Consider the following 24,520-nt stretch of genomic DNA (forward strand, 5'->3'; position numbering starts at 1 on the left):
GTAGCAAACAGCTCACAACTTCAGTATACCTTATTTAGATAAGAGGAAACAGTAGGGTCAATTACACATCTGGAATTTTAGAGAGGATGCTTTCTTTGTGAACCAATATGAGAAGTTCAAATGAATTAATACATGCTTGGGAATTTAAGTTTAGATCTTCAATTTGCAGTGAAAATTACTAATACTTGAAAGAATGTTCATAACTATTTATTCTATATTTATTATATTGAGAAAATTCTAAATATAATCAAAATCTATTCTACAAATCTAATATTTCACTTTGGACTAGAAAGAATGTAAAAGAAGGAGGAACAATAAGTCCCGGAGGAATTAGTCCAGACCTCAGCAACATTTGTTTGTTTTGCTTCAAGAAACTTCAATAAGACTATCTTAGCTTATTATTGTTCAAGTTTCGCCTGCCTTAGAAAGTTTTTTCCTCTGACCATCCAAGATAACAGTGATCCAGCATTATGTCTGATACATAATAGATGTCTACTGGATAACTGATGCAATGCTCTGGGGATCCCAAATATAAGTCTGTGGGGGTAATGAAATAGAGAGAGAGGTGGAAGACAAAAGAGGAAAGGAACAGAAGAATGGGAGAGAGGAAGAGGAGAGCTATATACAATGGGGCCTGATCCAGGATCTGAAATGTCATCTCGGGGGTCCATTTAGTGGCATGTGCGATACAGGAGATCTAATCCAGACCAAAGCAATCCCCTGATTCCAGGAAGGTCTGATCGTAAAGCAACCTAAAAAACACCTAGTTGGTAAGAGCTTAAAGGAGTTAAGTTAGTCAAAACCTCCTCTCAAAATTTTGCAGATGTTTGTGGAACAGGCATTGCCAATTTCTTACACACATGCCAATTGAGTAGATTGTTTGTGTCAAGCTTCACCAATATGAGGATTCGGTCTCATCCAGGTTATTGGCTGGACCAAGGATCAGCATTTTTTTCTGAGCTAAGTGAGCTACACGTTTGCTGAAGGTACTACTGATCCTGGACATGATGAAGTTGCCTTCCTGGGTAACCTGATAGGCCCTACAAGAATGAGCTGCCATGGTTTATCCACTTCTTGCTTGTTTGGAAATTCCCCTCTGCCAGAGATAGTTCCAGAGTTATTATGCACAAAAATGAAACGCAACAGCCAGGAAATCCAGAATACTTGCCATGTTTTTAGATGTAAGACAATTTACTTGAGAAAGGTCATTGGTCTGGCATGATGAGAATGTAATATATTTTTATGAATTACTTCCGCAAAGCCCTAATTCCTGAGATGCATACACTAGCTTGACTTGTGCCCAATCCTAACCTTTCAAGCTCCTCTGTGGCTACCAGCTTGCTGGTCTTTCCCTGCCCTCCTTTCCTCTGGTTTCCTGGAGTTGCTGTGCTGCGAGGAAGAAAGAATGCACTGCTTGTTTCTTGCCATTGATGTTCAGCACAAGGGCTGGCATCACTGCTTCGTGGCTTGAGCTCAAACCAGAGCATCACAGAAAAACATACAGACAAAAACATTGTTATTACCTTGATTTTGCAGTTCAGTGGGGGTGTGACCTTGTCTGCCTAGTCTGCAGAGCCAAAATCCTCAGGTCCTAATTCTAAAAGTTAGTAAGCAGTAGAAGGGAGGGTATATGGAAGAAAGGATGAAATCAGAATGTGGTTAGGAGCCAGTCCCAGCTGTAATTAGGTCCTCAGAAAAGTGGTGGCAATTTTACACTGGTATTCAGTGTCTTAACTTTAAAAACTTGCTTTTTGCTAGATTATAATGAAAGATGGATTTCATTTATTTTAAAAGTGCAACATTAAGAAATAACATGTGATGTGGAAGACATTCACAATCAAATTAAATGTTATGATTTAAAGTATGAAATTCTCCAGAATTTTAATGTACACATGGATCACTAGTAGATCTTGCTAAATATGTAGGTTGTGACTGTAAGTCTGGGGTGGGACCTGAAATTCTACATCTCTAACAAGCTCCCTGGCCAGGTCAGTGCTGGTGGTCTTGGGATCACATTTTCAAGCAAGCCTCTAGACTGCATTGGTTAAGAAAGGGTACACACTTGAAAGAACATGGCCTGCTTCCCAAGCCATTCAGCTGACTTAATGTCAAAAAGGAGCATCCTGGGCCAGGTGCAGTGGCTCATGCTTGTAATCTCAATACTTTGGGAGGCTGAGGAGGGTGGATCTCTTGAGCTCAGGAATTCAAGACCCACGTGGGCAACATGACGAAACCTCAGCTCTACCAAAAATGTAAAAAATTAGCTGGGTGTTGTGGCGCAAGCCTATAGTCCCAGCTACCTGGGAGGCTGAGGTGGGAGGATCCCTTGAGCCCGGGAAGTGGAGGTTGCAGTGACCTGAAACTGCGCCACTGCACTCCAGCCTGAGAAACAGAGGAGACTCTGTCTAAAAAAAAAGAAAAAAAAGAAAAGAAAAGAAAAAGAAAAGAAAAGAAAAAGAAAGGAACATCCTACAGCAAATAGTTTAAATCACATCCTTTGATATCACTATGATAAAATTGTAAAATAAAAGAACAATTAAGAATGAGAAAGTAAAAATGATTACCAATAGTGAGGTAATTTAAACTCCTTGTTAATAAGTTTGAAAATCCAGAAAAAAAAATTTTATAGCTTTTGAGAAGGATACAAATTAAAAAAAAAAAAAACTCGAGTAAGCAGACAATCTACAAAAATTTATAACCCTGGAAAATATTTTTCAAGTTACCTAAGACTAAATATCCTCCAAAGTACAAGGATTAGAGCATTTTCCAGATGAAGTCTTTCAAACCTTCAAGGAATAAATATTTAAATGTTTGTTAAATTTTCCAGAGGAAAAAGGTGGAAAGATTTCCAATTATTTGTATAAAACCATGTAACACTGATTCTAAAACTTAACAGAAAACTATATCCCAGGTTCACTCATAAATATTGATACAAAAATCCTAAATAAAATATTGGAAAATAAAGTCAAACAATATTTTAAAATACCACAATCCCATGATTAAAGACACTTTAGTCTGGGAATGCAAAGTTTGTTCAATATTAGCAAAACATCAAGTTAAAATGTCAAAAAGGAAAAATAGTTAATCACTTCAATAAATGATTTTCTTAAAAAATCAAAAATCAGTTATTTTGAGGGTAAGGTGAGGGGACAGGGTCTTGCTCTGTTGTCCACACTGGAATGCAGTGACAGGATCAAAGCTCACTGCAGCCTCCCATCTCAGCTGGGACCTTGTAGTCCCAGCTACTCAGGAGAAGTACTCAAGAGAAGCTGAGTAGCTGGGACTATAAGCAGGTGCCACCACAGGCAGTTAATATATTTTTTTTCTTTTTTAGACATAGAGTATTACTATGTTACCCAAGCTGGTCTCAAACTCCTGGGTTCAAGTACTCCTCCTACCTCAGCCTCCCAAAGCACTAGGATTACACAACTGAGCCACAGTGCCCAGCCAATTTTTTTTTTATTAAAAAAACAGGAATCAAAGGGTGCTCACTTATCATAATCAACCTATAACCAACTGATATTCATCAAAGTTCACAAAAATAGGCAATGGGGAAAGGACTTCTAGTCAATCAATGGTGCTGGGAAAACTGGCTAACCATATGCAGAAAAAACTAGGCCCATACCTATCACCATACACAAAAATTAACTCAAGATGGATGAAATAATTAAATGTTAGATCTCAAATTATAAAAGTCCTAGAAGAAAACCTAGGAAATGCCCTTCTCAACATCAGTTGTGGCAAATAATTTATGACCAAATCCTCAAAAGCAATTACAAGAAAAACAAAAACTGGTGGATGGGAACAAATTAAACCAAAGAGCTTCTGCACAGCAAATGGAACTCAAAACAGAGTAAACAACCTACAGAACGGGAGAAAACATTCGTAAACTATGTATCCAGCAAAGGTCTAATATCCATAATCTACAAGAAACTTAAATAAATCAACAGGACAAAAACAAATAACCCCATTAAAAAGTGAGCAAAGGACAGACACTTCTCAAAAAAGACATAAAAGTGGCCAACAAACGTATGAAAAAATCCTTAACATTGTTAATCATCAGAGAAATGCAAATCAAAACCACAGTAAGATACCATCTCACACTAGTCAGAATGGCTGTTATTAAAAATTCAAAAAATAACAGACATTGGTGAGGCTGTGAAGAAACGAGAACACTTAAACACTGTTGGTGAGAATGTAAATTAGTTCAGCCACTATGGAAAGCACCCTGGAAATTTCTCAAAGAGCTAAAACAGTGACCATTTGACCTAGAAATCCCATTCCTGTGTATATACCCAAATTGTTCTACCAAAAAGTCACATATACTTCTATGTTCCTTACAGCACTATTCAAAATAGCAAAAACAGGAAAACAACCTAGGTGCCCACCAACTGTGGATTGGACAAAGAAAGTATTGTGCATATACACTATGGAATACCATGTAGCCATAAAAAAGAATGAAATCATGTTCTTTGCAGCAACGTGAATGCAGATGGAGGCCATCGTACTAAGCAAATTAACGCAGGAGCAGAAAACCAAATATCACATGTTCTCACTCATAAGTGGGAGCTAAATCTAGACATAGAGTTTGGAACAATAAACACCGGGGACTACTATAAGGGAGAGAGAGGGAGAGGGGTGAAAAACTTCCTATTGGAAGTTGGGATCACTATCTGAGTGCTGGGATCAGTGGAAGCCCAAGCCTCAGCATCATACAATATACCCTCGTAACAAACCTGCATATGTACCTGTTGAATCTAAAATAAAATGGAAATTAAATAAATAAATGAAATAAAAATAAAATATGACTGCATAAAGTAATAATTAGATGAGCCTATAATGTATAAAGATGTAATTTATGTAACAATGGTAACACAAAAATGGAAAATGGGGTGATAGAACAAACATATAGTGGCAAAGTTTTTGTGTATTATTGACATTAAATTGGTATTAATCCAAAGTGCTTGTTATAATTGTTAATTATAATCTCCAGGGCACTCACTAAGAAAATAAGTCAAAAACATAGTGAAATAAAAAAAGAAGGGGAACTAAAATGATACAATAAAAAATATATATGTAACAGAAAAGAAGGCAATAATGAAGGGCTGGAGGAGCAAAAAAGGGCATAAGAGAAATATATAACACAAATTGTAAAGTGGCAGATATAAATATTTTCATATCAGTTATGACATTAAATGTAAATGGATTAAAATTCCAATCAAAAGGCAGAGATTGGAAAATAGATTAAAAAACATGTTCCAGCCACATGCTGTCTACAAAATATATACTTTTTTTAAGCAAAAATTCTTTATTTTATTTTATTATTATTATTTTTTTGAGACGGGGTCTCCCTCTGTTGTCCAGGCTGCAGTGCAGTGCCTCGGTCTCTGCTCACTACAACCCCCGCGTCCCAGGTTCAAGCAATTCTCCTGCCTCAGCCTTCTGAGTAGCTGGAATTACAGGCACACACCACCACACCTGGCTAATTTTTTTTGTTTTTAGTAGAGATGGGGTTTCAGCATGTTGGTCAGGCTTGTCTCCAACTCTTGACCTTGTGATCTGCCTGCCTCGGCCTCCCAAAGTGCTGGGATTACAGGCATGAGCCACTGCGCCTGGCCAATTTTTAAGAAAAATGTATAATTTCTCATTTTCTATTCTTGGCATAAATTTTCATTATTTCTAGTGGAACCAAAATCTCCTGAACACCTTTCAGTGTCATCCGAAGCTTGAACTTCTATTTCTAGATAAAAAAATCCATTCAGCACTGAACTGTGCAATTTGATCACTGTTTTTGACTTCAAACTTTGCCAAAATTAAATAGTGCAACACCAACATTTCCTCTATAATTTTCATCTATGACACCAGCTCCTACATCAATAAAATGTTTTGCAGCCAAGCCAGACCATGGAACTACTCTTCCTAACACCCAGAGAAGGAAGAGCTACCTGAATGTCTATTTTCATGAGTGCTTTCTCTATAGGTGGTATTGTCTAATCATAGGCATTGTACAAGTTGTAGCCTGCACTTCTCACAGACCCTCAGGTTGGAGCCATGGCATGCTCAGAGAGCTGGGCAAGGCACAGCTGCATGTCACCCTCCTCCACAGGCCAGCCGATTTGCTGGGGGAAATGGTGGGTGTTTCTTCAGAGCAGGTTATGGCAGAGCAAGAAGGCAAGCAAGGAGAGAGCCCAGGGAACTAGGGAGCACAGGATGGCAGGGAACTGGCCAAAAATGTCAACATATACTTTAGATTCAAAAACGTTTCTTTCTTTTTTTTTAGACAACCTACATGACATGTTTTTCTTAAAAACAATGCCTCCACTCCAAATAAATCATGGTCAAAATAAATGAAGAGCTCAAGATGACATCAGTCCCATTTGTCTTAAGTCCTGGTGTTGTGTGGCTGACAAGCAGAAGCCAGTTATGATGACAGGTAATAGATCCAGTCATTGCCAAATTTGTTAATTTTTTTTCCATTTCTAAGCCATCCTTAAAGGAAATCCCACATGGGTTACACCAACCTCACGGTAGTCCTGTGGAGCAACCATGCCATCTGGATTCATGTTTTCACCAATAAAGAAGTGGTAGCTTTTGAAATTAGCAAGGATGTGTTTGATTTGTTCTGCAGCCCCTGTCATAAAAGGTTTTACTCTTTCTGGTCTCTGTTCTTCAAGTTTGCCTTTGGTTGATTTCATGTAATCTTTGGTGTATTATACTTCTTGTAGGCTTCTTTTGTGAAGCTTGTTTCCTGCAGGTGATGGTTCATGACAGTAAGGATACCAGTGATTACTGTGCTTTTGGTACCTTCGCTTTCAGTGCCTTCAGCGGAGGCATTTCCACCAATGAGCAAGTCATCAATGTTACCCTCTGTCCTACTTACCAATTTCCCCTCCACCTCCAGGCACAGCCCATCCGCAGTCTCCCGGATTTTGTAAATGTGGGAGAACATCTCATCATGGCTGATGAGGTCCCAGTAGATAAATCATGATGGTGGCTGAAGGCAGACGATGGCGGCATTAGCATAGCAGGAGCCCAGAGCTCAGAGCGAGCGGGGTGCAGCCTGAGCAGCACTCCAAGGGAGCGGGGTGCAGCGGAAAAGAAAAACAAATTTCAAGAACCAAAGCAAGAAAATACAAGGATGGTGAAGGGAATAAAATGCATAAAGTTACCAAAAGAGAGCTGGAGTTGCTATATTAATATCGGACAAAGTAGACTTTAAGAAGAAGAACATTTTATAATGATAAAAGAATAAATTCATCAGAAATAAGAAAAACAATTATAAACATGTATACATATAACAACAAAATCTAAAAATACACGAAGTAAAAACTGACAGAATTGCAAAGAGAAATAGTCAATTCAATAACAACAATCGGAAACTTCAATACCTCACTTTTAATAATCGATTGAACAAGGAGACAGAAGATCAAGAAGAAAATAAAAGGCTTAAACAACACTTTAAGTAAACCCAGCAGACATCTAAATAACACTCCACTCAACAACAGAATATACAGTCTTTCCAAGGGCACATGGAACATTCTTCAGGATAGACGACATGTTGGGCCACAAAACCAGCCTCCATAAATTAAAAAGGATTTACATCATATAAAGAATGTCCTCCAACTACAATGGAATAAAATTAGAAATTAACCAATGAACAAAATTTAGGTAATTCACAAATATGTGGAAATTAAGCAACACACTGCTAAAAAAAAAAACAAAAACAAACAAAAAAACCCAATGGATTAAAGAAGAAATCCCAAGGGAAATTAGAAAGTACTTTAAGATTAATGAAAATTAAAAAAATAAAAAACCACCATGACTCATGGGATACATTGAAGGCAGTGTTTAGAGGGAAATTTATTACTCAAAATGCCCATATTTAAAAAAATAACAAGCTCAATAGCAAAAAATAGAAATAACCCTATTTAAAATGGGCAAAGAATTTAAATAGACATTTCTCAAAAGAAGATATATGAACAGCCAACAAGAATATGAAAAAATGTTCAATATCAGAGAAATACAAATTAAAACCACAAAGATGCATCATCTCATACATATTAGAATGGCTATTATCAAACACACGAAAAATAACAAGTGTTGATGAAATTCTCAGAAGAAAATATAGGAGTAAATATTTATGTCTTAGGACCAAGCAATGGTTTCCTGGATATGACACCACTTTTTATAATATTAAAAGCTTTTGTGCTTAAGGGATCCTACCAAGAAAGTGAAAAGACAATCCACATAATGAGAGAAAATATTTGCAAATCATGTATCTTATAAGGAGTTTGTATCCAGACTACATAAACAACTCTTACAACTCAACAACAAAAACATAAATAACTCAGTTTTAGAAATACAAAAAGGATTTAGTAGCCATTTCTCCAAGATATACAAATGGCTAATAAGTACATAAAAAGATGCCCAAATAATTAGCTGTTAGAGAAATGCAAATTATAACCAATGAGATATCACTTCATAACCACTAGTACTTTGCAAAACAATTTGGCAATTCCTTAAGATGTAGAAACATCGAGTTTCTACATAAATCAGTCATTCCGCTCCTAGAGAGAATTGAAAACATATGTTCACACAGAAACCTTTCCTAGAATTTCATAACAGCATTATTCATAACAGGCAAGAAGTGAAAATAATCCAAATGTCAATCAATTGATGGATGAATAAATACAATGTTTTATATTCATACAACGGAATATTACGCACCCATAAGAAGGAATGCAGTACTGATACACACTATAACCTGGATGAACCATGAAAATATTATGCTAAGTGAAAGGAGTTAGTCACAAAGAACTGCATATAGTATGAATCTACTTATATTCAATTTCCAGAATAGGGAAATTCATGAAGACAGAAAATAGATTGGTGATTTCCTAGGTCTGGAGAAGATGGGGAGAAATTGAGAGTGACCACTAATGGGGGTTTCTTTAGGGGGGTGACAAAAATGTTATAAAATTGACTTGGTGATAGTTGTACATCTTTGTGGATATATTAAAAACAACTGAATTGTACACTTAAAAAAGGTAAATTTTATAGATTTTAATTACATCTCAATTAAGCTATTATTTAAAAATAGAGTTACCGTTGAGTGCTGAGTAACATTTCTGTCTCTTTTGAAGGCCCAGATTCTCAGGCACAATGGTCTGGGACAGGTTGAAGGTTACAGGGCTGAGACGATAAAATCAGGTTAATCTTATATTAGTAATTCTCATGAAAATGGGATTATGTTGCTGACCTATTTTAAAGCTTGTCCTTTAGCTTCTCTCAGCTATGGGAAATCAAGAGCTCCACAATTTTGTAAAAATACACGGAAGCCTATGGGAGTACTACAGATGGGTTCATAATTAAAACAAGGTGATTTATTCACCTACCAGTTCTGTGAACTTGAGCAAGACATGCACTCAAATCTTTGATTGTACCTTCCGTAATATAGAGATTTAAAAAGTACTTACTCTACATCATAGGATTGTTGAGATAATTAAATGAGATTTAATAGTTATACAATGCCAGGCACATGGAAAAGATATGATTGATGCTGGCTGCCCTTAAAGATATATGTTAATTCATGCACACATATGTTTATTGCAGCACTATTCACAATAGCAAAGACTTGGAACCAACCCAAATGTCCATCAGTGACAGACTGGATTAAGAAAATGTGGCACATATACACCATGGAATACTATGCAGCCATAAAAAAAAGGTGAGTTCATGTCCTTTGCAGGGACATGGTTGAAGCTGGAAACCATCATTCTCAGCAAACTATCACAAGATTAAAAAGCTAAACACCATATGTTCTCACTCATAAGTAGGAGTTGAACAATGAGAACACATGGACACAGGGAGGGGAACATCACATGCTGGGGCTGGTCAGTGGGTGGGGGACTAGGGGAGGAATAACATTAGGAGAAATACCTAATGTATGTGATGGGTTGATGGGTGCAGCAAACCACAAGGGCACGTGTATACCTATGTAACAAAATTGCACGTTCTGCACATGTAACCCAGAACTTAAAGTATTAAAAAAAAAAGATACGTGTGAATTATTCTGCAAAGGGAAGGGGGAAACTCAGGCATGGTAATGTCAGTCTTCCTTACATATCAGCTGGGTTCCCTTTTATGGGAATGAACAGGCTGCTCAGCTCCCCACAAAAATGTTCCTTGAATGCCATTAGTACCTACCACTACTTCCAGTACTTCCCAGTCCATCATTCTATGGACAGGGGCATCTGCATACCCAGCTCCTGCCCACTGTTGTTCGACGAAGCATCTTTTCCAGGCCTGCCCAATCCATCATTGTATCACCAGAGAGCAATCTCTTTGGAAACTGTTTTGCAAGTTTGGGAGAGTAGATTATTATATTGTCTCTTCTGACATAGAATGAGGAATTATACCACAGAGGAACCAAGACTCTTGCCCAAGGTCTCAGACAGTGTGCTGTTTCTAATACGTGCTTCCTCCCAGTCAAAAGAGATAAAAATGTGTTAAAGTTTGACCCAATGAGATTAGAGAGCCAGACAGATCCGGATATGCTGAACTAGGCAAAGGATTTTCTCCTCTGTGCATCCTCAACTTTGAAAACGCTGCTGTGAGAATTAAATAAAACAATGAAAGTAAGGTGTTGACCACAGGGCTTACCTCTCCTCATATTTTCTATAGCTTAAAAAAGTATGTGTTACATGTATACTTTTTGAAACTGCCTTTGCAAAAATTATAACAGTGAGAAAATTATGACAGTGAAAGAGATCTGATCTAAGTAACCCCCATCTTGCCTTTAACCTCCAAACTGCTCTTGGTCATTCTTGGGCTTAGACCAAGCTAATTTTGGGAGACCTTTATAGTTTAGATGATAACAGCCCTTCCCCAAAACTAAACTGCCTTTGTAAAGCTAATGAAAGGCCACCAGGTTAGAGTGTGAGGGGCCTGAATTCTGCTAAGGAGTAGTTATAAACAACTACTAGCCATTATCCCAGAGGTCACAAGACTTGCAACTCCCCCAATTACTCTTGCAGATAACATCACTATTGTAGACCCTAAGATTGGCCTTTTGAGATGTCTTTTCAGGTGTTTGCATTTCTGATGACCTATGTGTCCACTCGGACCCACCAACTCCTGCCAGCTGGTCCTGTGGCCTCACTCAGAAGCCAACTCCCTGGCCCACTAAACTATCCTTGAAAAACCCTAGCCTCCAAATTTTCTGGGAGATTGATTTGGGTAACAACTCTGTCTCCCATGTGGGATGGCTGGCCTCATGTCAGTTAAACTATATTGCAATGCCATGGTCTCTGAATTTATTTTGTTTTTGCAGTGGGCAGGAAGAACTCATGGGGCAGTTACCTTTTCTTCAAAATGTAGTAGATACAAATATATAGCTATGATTTTTCCACAAGTGGTTATATTCTTTCAAATTTCTAGTTTTCTGGTGGAAAAAGGGGGGTGTTACAGAATAAAAGGTAGCTTGCTTAAAATGCAAATTGGACTGTTAATGATTATTAATATAGAAATATGAGAAAAAAAGCTTCATCTTTGGAGCTCTGTACTTCTGATAATTGTTTCCAGAACAAATGGAATCCTCATTTTTCTGCAACAGCTTTAGGGCAGGCTAACCTATAAATTTCTTTTTAAATAACTGTTGAGTCTATTACAAAGACTTCTAAATTGCTAGGCAGTGCGGCCCACATATCCTTAGGATAACAAAGCACACTGTGATTCTCTGGCCTCTAACCTCTTCTACAACACACCAGGAAAATGATGTAAGGTTTCTGAAATCCCCCTATTTCTACTGGGAAAAAGGCTAGAAATGGCTCTTTGCCAATTATGTGATATGTTTAAGAAATGATTTTTTTTAACTTTTATTTTAGGTTCAGGGATACATGTGAAGGTTTGCTATATAGGTAAACTCATGTCATGGGGTTGTATTATACATGTTATTTCATCACCCAGGTATTAAGCCTAGCACCTGTTAATTCTCTTTCCTGATCATCTCCCTCCTCCCACCTTCCACCCTCAAGTAGACCCTAGTGTATGTTGTTCCCTTCTTTGTGTTCATGGGTTCATCATTTATCTCCCACTTATAACTGAGGACATGCGGTATTTGGCTTTCTGTTCCTGCATTAGTTTGCTAAGGATATGGCCTCAAGCTCCATCCATGTTCCCACAAAAGACATGATTGCATTCTTTTTATGGCTGCATAGTATTCCATGATGTATATGTACCACATTTTCTTCATCCAATCTGTCATTGATGGACTTTTAGTTTGATTCCATGTCTTTGCTAGTGGGAATGGTGCTGCAATGAACATTTGCCTACATGAGTCTTTATGGTAGAATGATTTATATTCCTCTGGATATATACCCAGTAATGGAATTGCTGGGTCGAATGGTAGTTCTGCTTTCAGCTCTCTGAGGAATCACCATACTGCATTTCACAATGTTAGAACTAATTTACACTCCCACCAACAGTGTATAAGTGTTTCATTTTCTCCACAACCTTGCCAGCATCTGTTAGTTTTTGACTTTTTAATAATGGCCATTCTGACTGGTGTGAGATGATATCCCATTGTGGTTTTGATTTTCATTTCTCTAATGAACAGTGATATTGAACTTTTATTCATATATTTGTTGGCTTCTTTTGAAAAGTGTCTGTTCATGTCCCTTGGCCACTTCTTAATAGGGTTGTTTGTTTTTATCTTGTAAATTTGTTTAAGTTCCTTATAAATGCTGGATATTAGATCTTTGTCAGATGCATAGTTTGCAAATATTTTCTCTCATTCTCTAGGTTCCTGTTTACTCTGTTGATATTTTATTTTTCTGTGCAGATGCTCTTAAGTTTAATTAGACCTCATTTGTCAATTTTTACTTTTGTTTCAATTGCCTTTGGTGTCGTTGTCATGAAATCTTTGCCTGTTCCTATGTTCAGGATTGTATTGCCTACATTGTCTTCTGGAGTTTGTATAGTTTTAGGCTTTATATTTGAGTCTTTAATCCATCTTGAGTTGATTTTTATATATTGTGTAAGGAATGGGTCCCACGTCAATCTGCTGCATATGCGTAGCCAGTAATCCCAGCATCATTTATTGAAAACGGGGTCTTTTCCCCATTGCTTGTTTTTGTCAGCTTTGTTGAATATCAGATGTGTGGCCTTATTTTTGGGCTCTCTATTCTGTTCCATTGATTGATATGCCTGTTTTTGTAATAGTACCATCCTGTTTTGGTTACTGTAACCTTGTAATATAGTTTGAAGTTGAGTAACATGATGACTCCAGCTTTGTTATTTTTGCTTATGGTTGCTTTGTCTATCTGGGCCCTTTTTTTGGTTCCATATGAATTTTAAAATAGTTTTTTCTAGTTCTGTGAAGAATATAGTTGGTAGTTTGATAAGAATAGCATTGAATCTGTAAATTGCTTTGGGCAGTATGGCCATTTTAATGATATTGATTCTTCCTATCCATGAGCATGGGATATTCTTCCATTTGTGTGTGTCTTCTCTGAAGAAATGATATTTCTTTTTAACATTTTGAAGCATATCATTGAAAAATTGGCAATGTAGATGTTCCCCTTTACTACACAACTGATTGAAATTGCAGGCCGGCCGGGCGCGGTGGCTCACGCCTGTAATCCCAGCACTTTGGGAGGCCGAGGCGGGTGGATCATGAGGTCAGGAGATCGAGACCATCCTGGCTAACAAGGTGAAACCCCGTCTCTACTAAAAATACAAAAAAAAATTAGCCGGGCGCGGTGGCGGGCGCCTGTAGTCCCAGCTACTCGGGAGGCTGAGGCAGGAGAATGGCGTGAACCCGGGAAGCGGAGCTTGCAGTGAGCCGAGATTGCGCCACTGCAGTCCGCAGTCCCACCTGGGCGACAGAGCGAGACTCCGTCTCAAAAAAAAAAAAAAAAAAAAAAAAAAAAGAGAAATTGCAGGCCATCTCCTTAAATAGCCAACTCCTTGTTTTGTTCACTATGTTCTTGCTGTTGACATCAAAAAATAATTCTTATATTTTTTAGTCCTTTTTAGAAGTTACAAATGCTGTCAATATTTTGAAATTTTATTTCCTTTTTTATTGATATATACATATTTTGGGGGCACATGTCATAGTTTGATACTTGTGTACAGTGTGTAATGATCAAATCAGGGTAATTGGAATATCCATTATCTCAAACATTGTACTTGTGTTGAGAACACTTAAATCTTCTCCTCTTGCTTTTTTTAAATATACAATAAATTATTAACTAGAATTTCCCTACTGTACTATGGAATACCATAACTTATAGCTTCTGTCAAGGCATTTGAACCAAAGCAACTCCATTTTAATAGGAGCTGGGTAAAATGAGGCTGAAACTACTGGGAGATGCATTCCCAGACGGTTAAGGCATTCTAAGTCACAGGATGAGATAGGAGGTCAGCACAAAATGCAAGTCCTAAAGACCTTGCTGATAAAACAGGTTGCAGTAAAGGAGCAAGCCAAAATCCACCAAAATCAAAACGGCAATGAGAGTGACCTCTGGTCGTCCTCACTGCTACACTCCCACCAGCGCCATGACAGTTTACAAATGCTGTGGCAACATCAGGAAGTTATCCTATATGGACTCAAAAGGGGAAGCATGAATAATCCACTCCTGTTTAGTATATCATCAAAAAATAACCATAAAAATGGGTAACCAGCAGCCCTTGGGGCTGCTCTGTCTATGGAGGAGCCATTCATTTATTCCTTTACTTTCTTAATAAACTTGCTTTCTCTTTGCACCGCGGACTTGCCCTCAATTCTTTCTTGCACAAGATCCAAGAAGCCTCTCTTGGGGTCTGGACTGGGAACCCTGTCCTGTACCACTTCTATCTAACTGTATGTTTGTGCCCCTTAATTAAGTTGAAAATGTTTTTTAAGAAAGAAAGCAGAAAAACAATGCCAAACACAATTTTGCCTGGAAAGAAATACTTTGTACTCTGTGCAAATGGAGCACATGTGAGATTTGTCACATATCCTGTTTTCTTACTTTCACGAAAAAAAAAACCCTCCTCAGGTCATTATCATTCATTGCTCCCTATACAGACAAGCCCTAATAAGGAAGACTCCTGGTATCCTGAAGTTTTTCCATAGCCATAGAGTCAATACCCTTATCAGAAGCAGATCTCTGAATTACTCCATTTTGAAAAAATTTTGTCAGAAAATGAGAACATCATAGAGAGTGCTTCTCTACCACTAAGAAAGAAAACCATAAAAGAGAGAAAAACTATAAGTAGAAGTTATACTTTTTCTAAGAGAAAAAGAAAACTCATTCTTGTTTCGCTCTGAAAAAAAAAAATTATCCTTTGGTTGTATTACCTGTCAGTTTTTTATAATTACATGAAAAAAATTAATCTTTTATATTTTTTAAACAAGGAGAATATTCTACCCTTTGTTTAGCATATTATCAAGAAATAACCATAAAAATAGGCAAATAGCAGCCCTCGGGACTCCTCTTTCTGTGGAATAGCCATTCTTTTATTCCTTTACTTTCCTAATAAACTTGCTTTCACTTTACAGACTCTCCTTGGATTCTTTCTTGTGTGAAATCCAAGAACCCTCTTTTGGGATCTGGGTCAGGCCTCATTTCCTGTAACAGTATCATACAAGTAGTTTCACAGCCCTAAAAATCATCTGTGCTCCACATGTTCATTCCTTCTTTGCTCCAAACCTCTGGCAACCACTTATCCTTTTACTGTCTCCAAGTTTGCCTTTTCCAAAATGTCATATATATATCATAGAGTAGGTAGCCTTTTCAGATTAGCTTCTTTCATTAGTAATATGCATTTAAGTTTCTTCCATGTCTTTTCATTTCTTGATAGCTCATTTCTTTTTAGCACTAAATAATATTTCAATATACCATTGTCTGGATGGACCACAGTTTATTCATTTACCTAATAAAGGACATCTAGTTTGCTTCCAAGTTTTGGCAATTATGAATAAAACTGCTCTAAACAGTTCATCCACAGGTTTTTGTGTGGACATAGGTTTTTAACATATTGAGTAAATACCAAGGTGAGCAGTTGCTGGATTGTATGGTAAGGATATGTTTATTTTTGTAAGAAATGCCAGACTGTCTTCCAGAATGGCTATATCATTTTTTATTCCCACCAGTAATGAATGAGAGTACCTGTTGCTCTACACCCTCACCAGCACTTGGTGTTGTCAGTGTTCTGGATTTTGACCATTCTAAAAGGTGTGTAGTGGTATTGTCAGAGGCATTTGAACCAGAGCAACTCCATCGTGAATAGGGGCTGTGTAAAATAAGGGTAAGATCCGCTGGGCTGCATTCCCAGACAGTTAGGCATTCTAAGTCACAGTCTGAGATAGGAGGTTGGCACGAGATACAGGTCATAAGAACCTTTCTGATAAAACAGATGCAGTAAAGAAGCCGGCAAATCCCACCAAAACTAAGATGGCAATGAGAGTGACTTCTGATCATCCTCACGACTACACTCCCACCAGCACCATGACAGTTTACAAATGCCATGGCAACGTCAGGAAGTTACCCTATACAGTCTAAAAAGGGGAGGCATGAATAATCCACCCCTTCTTTAGCATATAATCAAGAAATATCCATAAAAATGGGCAACCAGCAGCCCTCCTGGTTGCCCTGCCTATGAAGTAGCCATTCTTTCTTCTTTTACTTTCTTAATAAACTTGCTTTCACTTTACTCTATGGACTCGCCCTGAATTCTTTCTTGTGCGAGAGCCAAGAACTCTCTCTTGGGGTCTGGATTGGGACCCCTTTCCATTAACAGTATCTCATTGTTTTAATTTCCATTTCCCTGATGACATGTGATGGGGAGTGTCTTTTCATATGCTTACTTGCAATGTGGATGTCTTCTTTAGTAAGGTATCTGTTAGATATTTTGCCCATTTTTTTGTTTGTTTTTTTTATTATTATACTTTAAGTTTTAGGGTACATGTGCACAATGTGCAGGTTTGTTACATATGTATACATGTGTCATGTTGGTGTGCTGCACCCATTAACTAGTCATTTAGCATTAGGTATATCTCCTAATGCTATCCCTCCCCCCTGCCCCCACCTCAAAACAGGTCCCAGTGTGTGATATTCCCTTTCCTGTGTCCATGTGTTCTCATTGTTCAATTCCCATCTATGAGTGAGAACATGCAGTGTTTGGTTTTTTGTCCTTGCGATAGTTTGCTGAGAATGATGGTTTCCAGTTTCATCCTTGTCCCTACAAAGGACATGAGCTCATCATTTTTTATGGCTGCATAGTATTCCATGGTGTATATGTGCCACATTTTCTTAATCCAGTCTACCATTGTTGGACATTTGGGTTGGTTCCAAGTCTTTGCTATTGTGAATAGTGCCACAATAAACATACGTGTGCATGTGTCTTTAGAGCAGCATGATTTATAATCCTTTGGGTATATACCCAGTAATGGGATGGCTGGGTCAAATGGTATTTCTAGTTCTAGATCCCTGAGGAATCGCCACACTGACTTCCACAATGGTTGAACTAGTTTACAGTCCCACCAACAGTGTAAAAGTGTTTCTATTTCTCCACATCCTCTCCAGCACCTGTTGTTTCCTGACTTTTTAATGATCACCATTCTAAGTGGTGTGAGATGGTATCTCATTATGGTTTTGATTTGCATTTCTCTGATGGCCAGTGATGATGAGCATTTTTTCATGTGTTTTTTGGCTGCCTAAATGTCTTCTTTTGAGAAGTGTCTGTTCATATCCTTTGCCCACATTTTGATGGAGTTGTTTGTTTTTTTCTTGTAAATTTGTTTGAGTTCATTGTAGATTCTGGATATTAGCCCTTTGTCAGATGAGTAGGTTGCAAAAATTTTCTCCCATTCTGTAGATTGCCTGTTCACTGTGATGGTAGTTTCTTTTGCTCTGCAGAAGCTCTTTAGTTTAATTAGATCCCATTTGTCAATTCTGGCTTGTGTTGCCGTTGCTTTTGCTATTTTAGACATGAAGTCCTTGCCCATGCCTTTGTCCTGAATGGTATTGCCTAGGTTTTCTTCTAGGGTTTTTATGGTTTTAGGTCTAACATGAAAGTCTTTAATCCATCTTGAATTAATTTTTGTATAAGATGTAAGGAAGGGATCCAGTTTCAGCTTTGTACATATGGCTAGCCAGTTTTCCCAGCATCAATAGGGAATTCTTTCCCCATTGCTTGTTTTTGTCAGGTTTGTCAAAAATCAGATAGTTGTAGATATGCGGCATTATTTCTGAGGGCTCTGTTCTGTTCCATTGGTCTATATCTCTGTTTTGGTACCAGTACCATGCTGTTTTGGTTACTGTAGCCTTGTAGTATAGTTTGAAGTCAGGTAGCGTGATGCCTCCAGCTTTGTTCTTTTGGCTTAGGATTGACTTGGCAATGCGGGCTCTTCTTTGGTTCCACATGAACTTTAAAGTAGTTTTTTCCAATTCTGTGAAGAAAGTCATTGGTAGCTTCATGGGGATGGCATTGAATCTATAAATTACCTTGGATCTTTTGCCCATTTTTTAATCAGGTTGTTTGTTTTCTTACTGTTGAGTTTCAAGAGCTCTTTGTATATTTGGGGTAATAGTCCTTTATCAGATATATCATTCAGAAATATTTTCTCCCTGTCTGTTTCTTGTCTACTCACTGTCTTGACAATGTACTTGGAAGAGCAGTAGTTTTAACTTTAATGAAGCCCAGTTTTCCAATCCTTTATTTAATGCTTCATGCCTTTGGCATTGTATCTAAAATGTCATCATTATACTCAAGATCGTATTCTCCTATATTATTTTCTAGGAGCTGTATAGTGTTATTTTTATAGTTAGGTCAATGATCAATTTTGAGTTAATTGTTGGGAAAGGTATAAAATCTGTAAGATGTGTGTCTAGATTGTTTTTATTTTTTTATTTTTTATTTTGCATGTGGATGTTCTAGCACCATTTGCTGAAAAGACGACCTTTTCTCCATTGTACTGCCTTTGCTCATTTGTCAAGAATCAGTTGACTATATTTATGTTGGTTTGTTTCTGGACTCCCTGTTTAATTGCATTGATCTATTTGTCTTTTCTCCTTTCAGTACCACATTGTCTTGACTACTGCAGTTTATAGTAACTGCTGAAGTCACGTAGTATCAGTTCTCTAACTTTGTTCTCATTCAATATTGCATTGGCTATTCTGGATCTTTTTGCCCCTCCATATAACCTTTAGAATCAGTTTGTCAACCTCCACAAAATAACTTGCTGAGAATTTAGGGGGATTGTGTTGAATTTTGGGAAGAGTGGAGAAGAACTGACATCCGGAAAATACTGTCTTCATATCCACGAATATGACATATCTATTTACTTAGTTCTTCTTTGATTTTTTTTTATCAGGGTTTTCTAGCTTTCTCATATAGATCTGCTATACATTTTTTTAGATTTATACCTAAGTATTTTATTTTTAGGGCGGGCCAATGTAAATGGCACTGCTTTTCATTTCAAATTCCACTTGTTCATTGCTGGTATATAAAAAAGTGATTGATATTTTGTGTGTTAGTTTTATATCCCATCCTACAACCCTGCTATAATTGCTTGCTAATACCAGGAGTGTTTGTGTCAATTCTTTTGGATGTTATACATAGACAATGACTCCATCTGTGAATAAAGACAGTTTTATTTCTCCCTTCACAATCGTTATACATTTTATTTCCTGTTCTTTTCTTACTGCATGAGCTAGGACTTCCAGTGCCTACATTCTTGTTTGTGACAATGTTGAAAAGCAATGGTGAAAGGAAATATCTTTGCCTTCTTTCTGATCTTAGTGGGAAAGCTTCAAGTTTCTCACAAGTAAGTATGATGTTAGCTGTAGGTTATTTTATAGATTTTTTTTTTTTCTGGAGATGGAGTTTCGCTGTTGTTGCCTAGGCTGGAGTGCAGTGGCACGATCTCAACTCACTGCAACCTCCGCCTCCCAGGTTCAAGCGGTTCTCCTGCCTCAGCCTCCTGAGTATCTGGGATTATAGGTATGCGCCACCATGCCCAGCTAATTTTTGTATTTTTTCATAGAGACGGGGTTTCACCACGTTGGTCAAGCTGGTCTCGAAATCTTGACCTCAAGAGATCACCCCGCCTCTGCCTCCCAAAGTGCTGGGTTTACATATAGATGGTTTTAACAAGTTGAGGAAGTTCTCTATTCCTCATTGGCTGAGATTATTTATTATGAGTGGGTTTTGGGTTTTGGCAAATACTTTTTCTGTATCTATTGTTATGATCATAGAATTTTTATTCTTTGTGTACACAGTCTCTGAAAATAAGGATAGAGCAAAAATTAATATAAACAAAATTAAAATTTGTATTCTTTAGCTTGTTGATATGATGGACTACATTAATTGATTTTTGAATAAATGTTGAACCAGCCTTGAATACCTGTGCTAAATCTCATTTAGTCGTAGAGTATGATTCTTTTTATACATTTATTTAATTTTCTAATATTTTATTGATCCTTTTATCTAATCAATGCCAGAGGATACAGTTTATATCAGAAAGGAAATGATTATAAATCCATAGTTCAATTTTAATGTCATCTAGACAGATAGAACTTTTGATAGACTTCTGAAGTTTTCTGGGTATTTTACAGATTTCTCTTTTCTAGGAAATAAACATTATCAAAACCTCTCAGCAAGCTGGAAATAGAAGAGAACTTCCTTAATTTGGCAAAGGTGTTATAGGACCACTGCATTCGACTGCTTATTGCACAGTGACAGACCAATATACCAAAACAACAGGAGTTGCAGCAAAGAGTTTAATTATCATAAAACAGCCAAATAAGGAGACAGGAGGAAACATCAAATCCACATCTCCAGAAGATAGGGAGATGGGACTTTTAAGGGACCTGGACAGGTGACAGACTAAAATGTACTGATTGCTAATTGGTCAAGAAGTGAGAGGTGAAGTCATAGGGCAGGTAGATTAAGAGACTACATTCCTGTCCTGAGTCAGTTACACTCTGGGTCTTCAGACCAGCTGGCATCAGCCATTCTGCTGGAATTCAGGATATCAAAAAACACCTTAAGCAATTATTGGGTTAAAATGTCCAGTATCGGCCAGGTGCGGTGGCTCAGGCCTGTAATCCCAAAGCCAAGGCAGGCAGATCACCTGAGGTCAGGAGTTCAAGACCAGCCTGGCTGACATGGTGAAACTCTGTCTCTACTAAAAATACAAAAAGTAGCCAGGCGTGGTGGCGGGCACCTGTAATCCCAGCTACTTGGGAGGCTGAGGCAGGAGAATCACTTGAACTAGGGAGGCAGAGATTGCAGTGAGTGGAGATTACACCACTGCACTCCAGCCTGGGTGACAGAGTGAGACTCCATCTCAAAAAAAAAAAAAAAAAAAAAAAATCCAGTTCCAGAGATTCTATCTATAGGAACAATGTGGGAGCAGGTGGTCAGTTTGCTACATGACTCTCAAGTTAGTTAGCAGCTACAGGGAAGTGGATCAAATTGCGCCAGTGCACCATGTTCAATACCTAACTATAATTCTGCCTAAAGCCTGGCTTCACTGGCTCACAGTCCTGCAGGCTATACAGGAAGCATGACATCAGCATCTGCTTAGCTTTTGGTGAGGCCTCAAGGAGTTTTTACTCAAGGCAGAAGGCAAAGTGGGAACTAACGCATCACATGGTGAGAGCAGCAGCAGGTAAGGATTCCATACACTTTTAAACAACCAAATCCATGTGAACTCATAGAGTGAAAATGCACTCATTATTGCAAGGACAGCACCAAGCCATTTATGAGGGATCTGCCCCCATGAGCCAATCACCTCCCACCAGGCCTCACCTCCAACAACACTGGGGATTACGTTTCAACATGAGATTTGTAGGGAACACATACCCAAACCATATTAATGTGAAAATAGTGAATGGTTTTCACCTAAGTCTGAGAATAACATAAATATATCTACTATTCTAATTTCTTTTTTATCTTTTTTTTGAGACAGAGTCTCATTCTGTCACCCAGGCTGGAGTGCAATGGCACAATCTTAGCTCACTGCAACCTCCACCTCCCAGGTCCAAGTGATTATCCTGCCTCAGCCTCCTGAGTAGTGGGAATACGGGGGCATGCCACCACTCCTGACCTTGTGATCCGTCTGCCTCGGCCTCCCAAAGTGCTGGAATTACAGGCGTGAGCCACTGCACCCAGCCCTATCTTTTTTTTTTTTTCATGATGGAGTTTCGTTCCTGTTGCCCAGGCTGGAGTGCAATGGTGCAGTCTCAGCTCACTGCAACCTCTGCCTCCCAGGTTCAAGCGATTCTCCTGCTTCAGTCTCCCAAGTAGCTGGGATTACAGGTGCCTGCCACCACATCCAGCTAACTTTTTTGTATTTTTAGTAGAGACGGGGTTTCACCATGTTGGCCAGGCTGATCTAGAACTCCTGACCTCAGATGATCTGCCTACTTCAGCCTCCCAAAGTGCTGGGATTACAGGCTTGAGCCACTGCACCCAGCCCTATTATAATTTCTAGCCAACACTATATTGGAGATCTTCTGTTGATGAGATATTTGCATATCCCAGGTCACCAAGACACTAAACTAAAAAGCACTAAACATTGAAAGAAAATATTGGTTAACTATGTTGAAAATACTGACCTAGCCAAAGATGAAGTCATTGATATTTGGATAAAAATTTGACTACAACTGAAATTTAACTAAAAAATTGTGATATTCTTTGAAAGAAATCTGCCTGTCTTGGCCTTGTAAAGTGAGCTGTCGAAACTTTAATTCCAGTCACAACAATATAGTTTGTGACTTGGGATTGTCAGCATTTGTGGCCATCCAAAAAAAAAAAAAGATCAAAATTCATCAGATAGCCAACATGACACATATTGCTTTGTCAAAGATCACCTCATAGTTTAATTCTCTTATTCAAGCTAAGCAACTACTGCTTTCATATTAATGTCTTTCAAAAATAAAATTTTGCTTACTTAGGCAAAATTTTAAATGTTTTTGTTTTTTAATTTACTAATAAAGAATGTATATATTACTATATCACAAATTTTAAAAATATTTTGATAACTTTATTTCACTATACCTAGCTTTCCTTGTAATTCAACTTATTTCATTTTATGCATTTGAGAATATTATTCTAAAAAGGGCCCATAGGCTTCACTGGATTGTAAAAAGAGCCATTGCACAGAAAACCTAAGTACCTCTGAGCTCAAAAGGATGTGTTATCGTAGAAAACAGTATGGCCTGGCCACTCACAGTTTTTCTGAAAAGCAAGTTGGAATAGCAGTGAATCTTTGAAAGTGACAGCAATGTGCCCTTCAAGTGTTGGAATTATCATGGGCAATCTCATGAGATTGCTGACAATCTGAGTTTCTCATCATAGCAACTGGAAAACCACTTGCTGCTTGTTTTATAACAGATAACTTCATCATCTTATTAGCAGTGATTTAGGTTGGGAAGCTGCCTACATTCTTGTTTGTGACCCTGATGGGAGGTAACCTCAAATATCAAATTAGTCATTTCTCTAAGGATCCTGGTTCCCGTTAGTGGAAAATAATATTACTATAGTAGTGAGCATTAAGCTGTGTCATGGGGTCACATTGCTCTTGAGCTTTTTCTTTCTTTTTTTTTTTTCTTTTTGAGATGGAGTCTCACTCTGTTGCGCAGGCTGGAGTGCAGTGGCGCGATCTCAGCTCACTGCAACCTCTGCCTCCGGGGTTCAACCAATACCCTTACCTCAGCCTCCCAAATAGCTGGGATTACAGGCGCCCACCACCATGCCCAGCTAGTTTTTGTATTTTTACTAGAGATGGGGTTTCACCATATTGGTCAGGCTGGTCTCAAACTCCTGACCTCAGGTGATCCACCCGCCTCAGCCTCTCAAAGTGCTGGGATTACAGGCGTAAGCCACCGTGCCCAGCCACTCTTGGGCTACTTCAATGGAAGAGCTAAACCGTTTTTCTTATAAAGGAAGTAGTTTATATTGATATTTACAATCTAGCTGGAGCAGGTCCATGCTCCTACTAAAATTCTTAACTTCCTTTGAACTGAGTATCTTTTACTAATCCTCTTCCTGAAGAAAGTAATATAGTTGTTTATGCTTTTCCCATAATTTAAGTTAAAAAAAATACAATATCCATGGAAATATCAATTCTTAATATAGTTGAAAACTTTTCCTTTAATTCTTCTTGGTTTTAGAAGGTAGCTAATTTGGTGGGATCTAACAAAGTGATGTAATTTAATCCTTTGGACTCAGGATCCAGCAATATGGAACTACACAACAGAGTAGAAGGGGATTGGAAAGCAATAATGGTATTTTAAAAGTCATCTACCCAGGGACAGAGAGGATCTGCCCCAGGAAACTCCCAGGTCCTGCTGCCTATGGGAAGGAAGCATCCCACATGGAGGAGAGAGACTCAGACTCCATGTTGCTTCTGGGAATCTGGTGGGAGGGAGGAAGTCCACTGCGTGAAGGGACCAAGTTCTAATGGGGAAGGGGAGAAAGATTCTGCTTGTACTTCTGCTGTGAGCAGCTGAGTAGTAGATTGTGA

At 38.2% G+C, this 24,520-nt stretch overlaps 2 pseudogenes; both read right to left on the reverse strand.

Annotated features, from left to right (window-relative positions):
* Window positions 5,621-6,212, reverse strand: DUTP5 (deoxyuridine triphosphatase pseudogene 5; annotated as a pseudogene).
* TPT1P6 (TPT1 pseudogene 6) lies at window positions 6,270-7,099 on the reverse strand (annotated as a pseudogene).

The sequence above is a fragment of the Homo sapiens genome, chromosome 6 (assembly GCF_000001405.40).
Source record: "Homo sapiens chromosome 6, GRCh38.p14 Primary Assembly".
NCBI classification, from domain to species: Eukaryota; Metazoa; Chordata; class Mammalia; order Primates; family Hominidae; genus Homo; species Homo sapiens.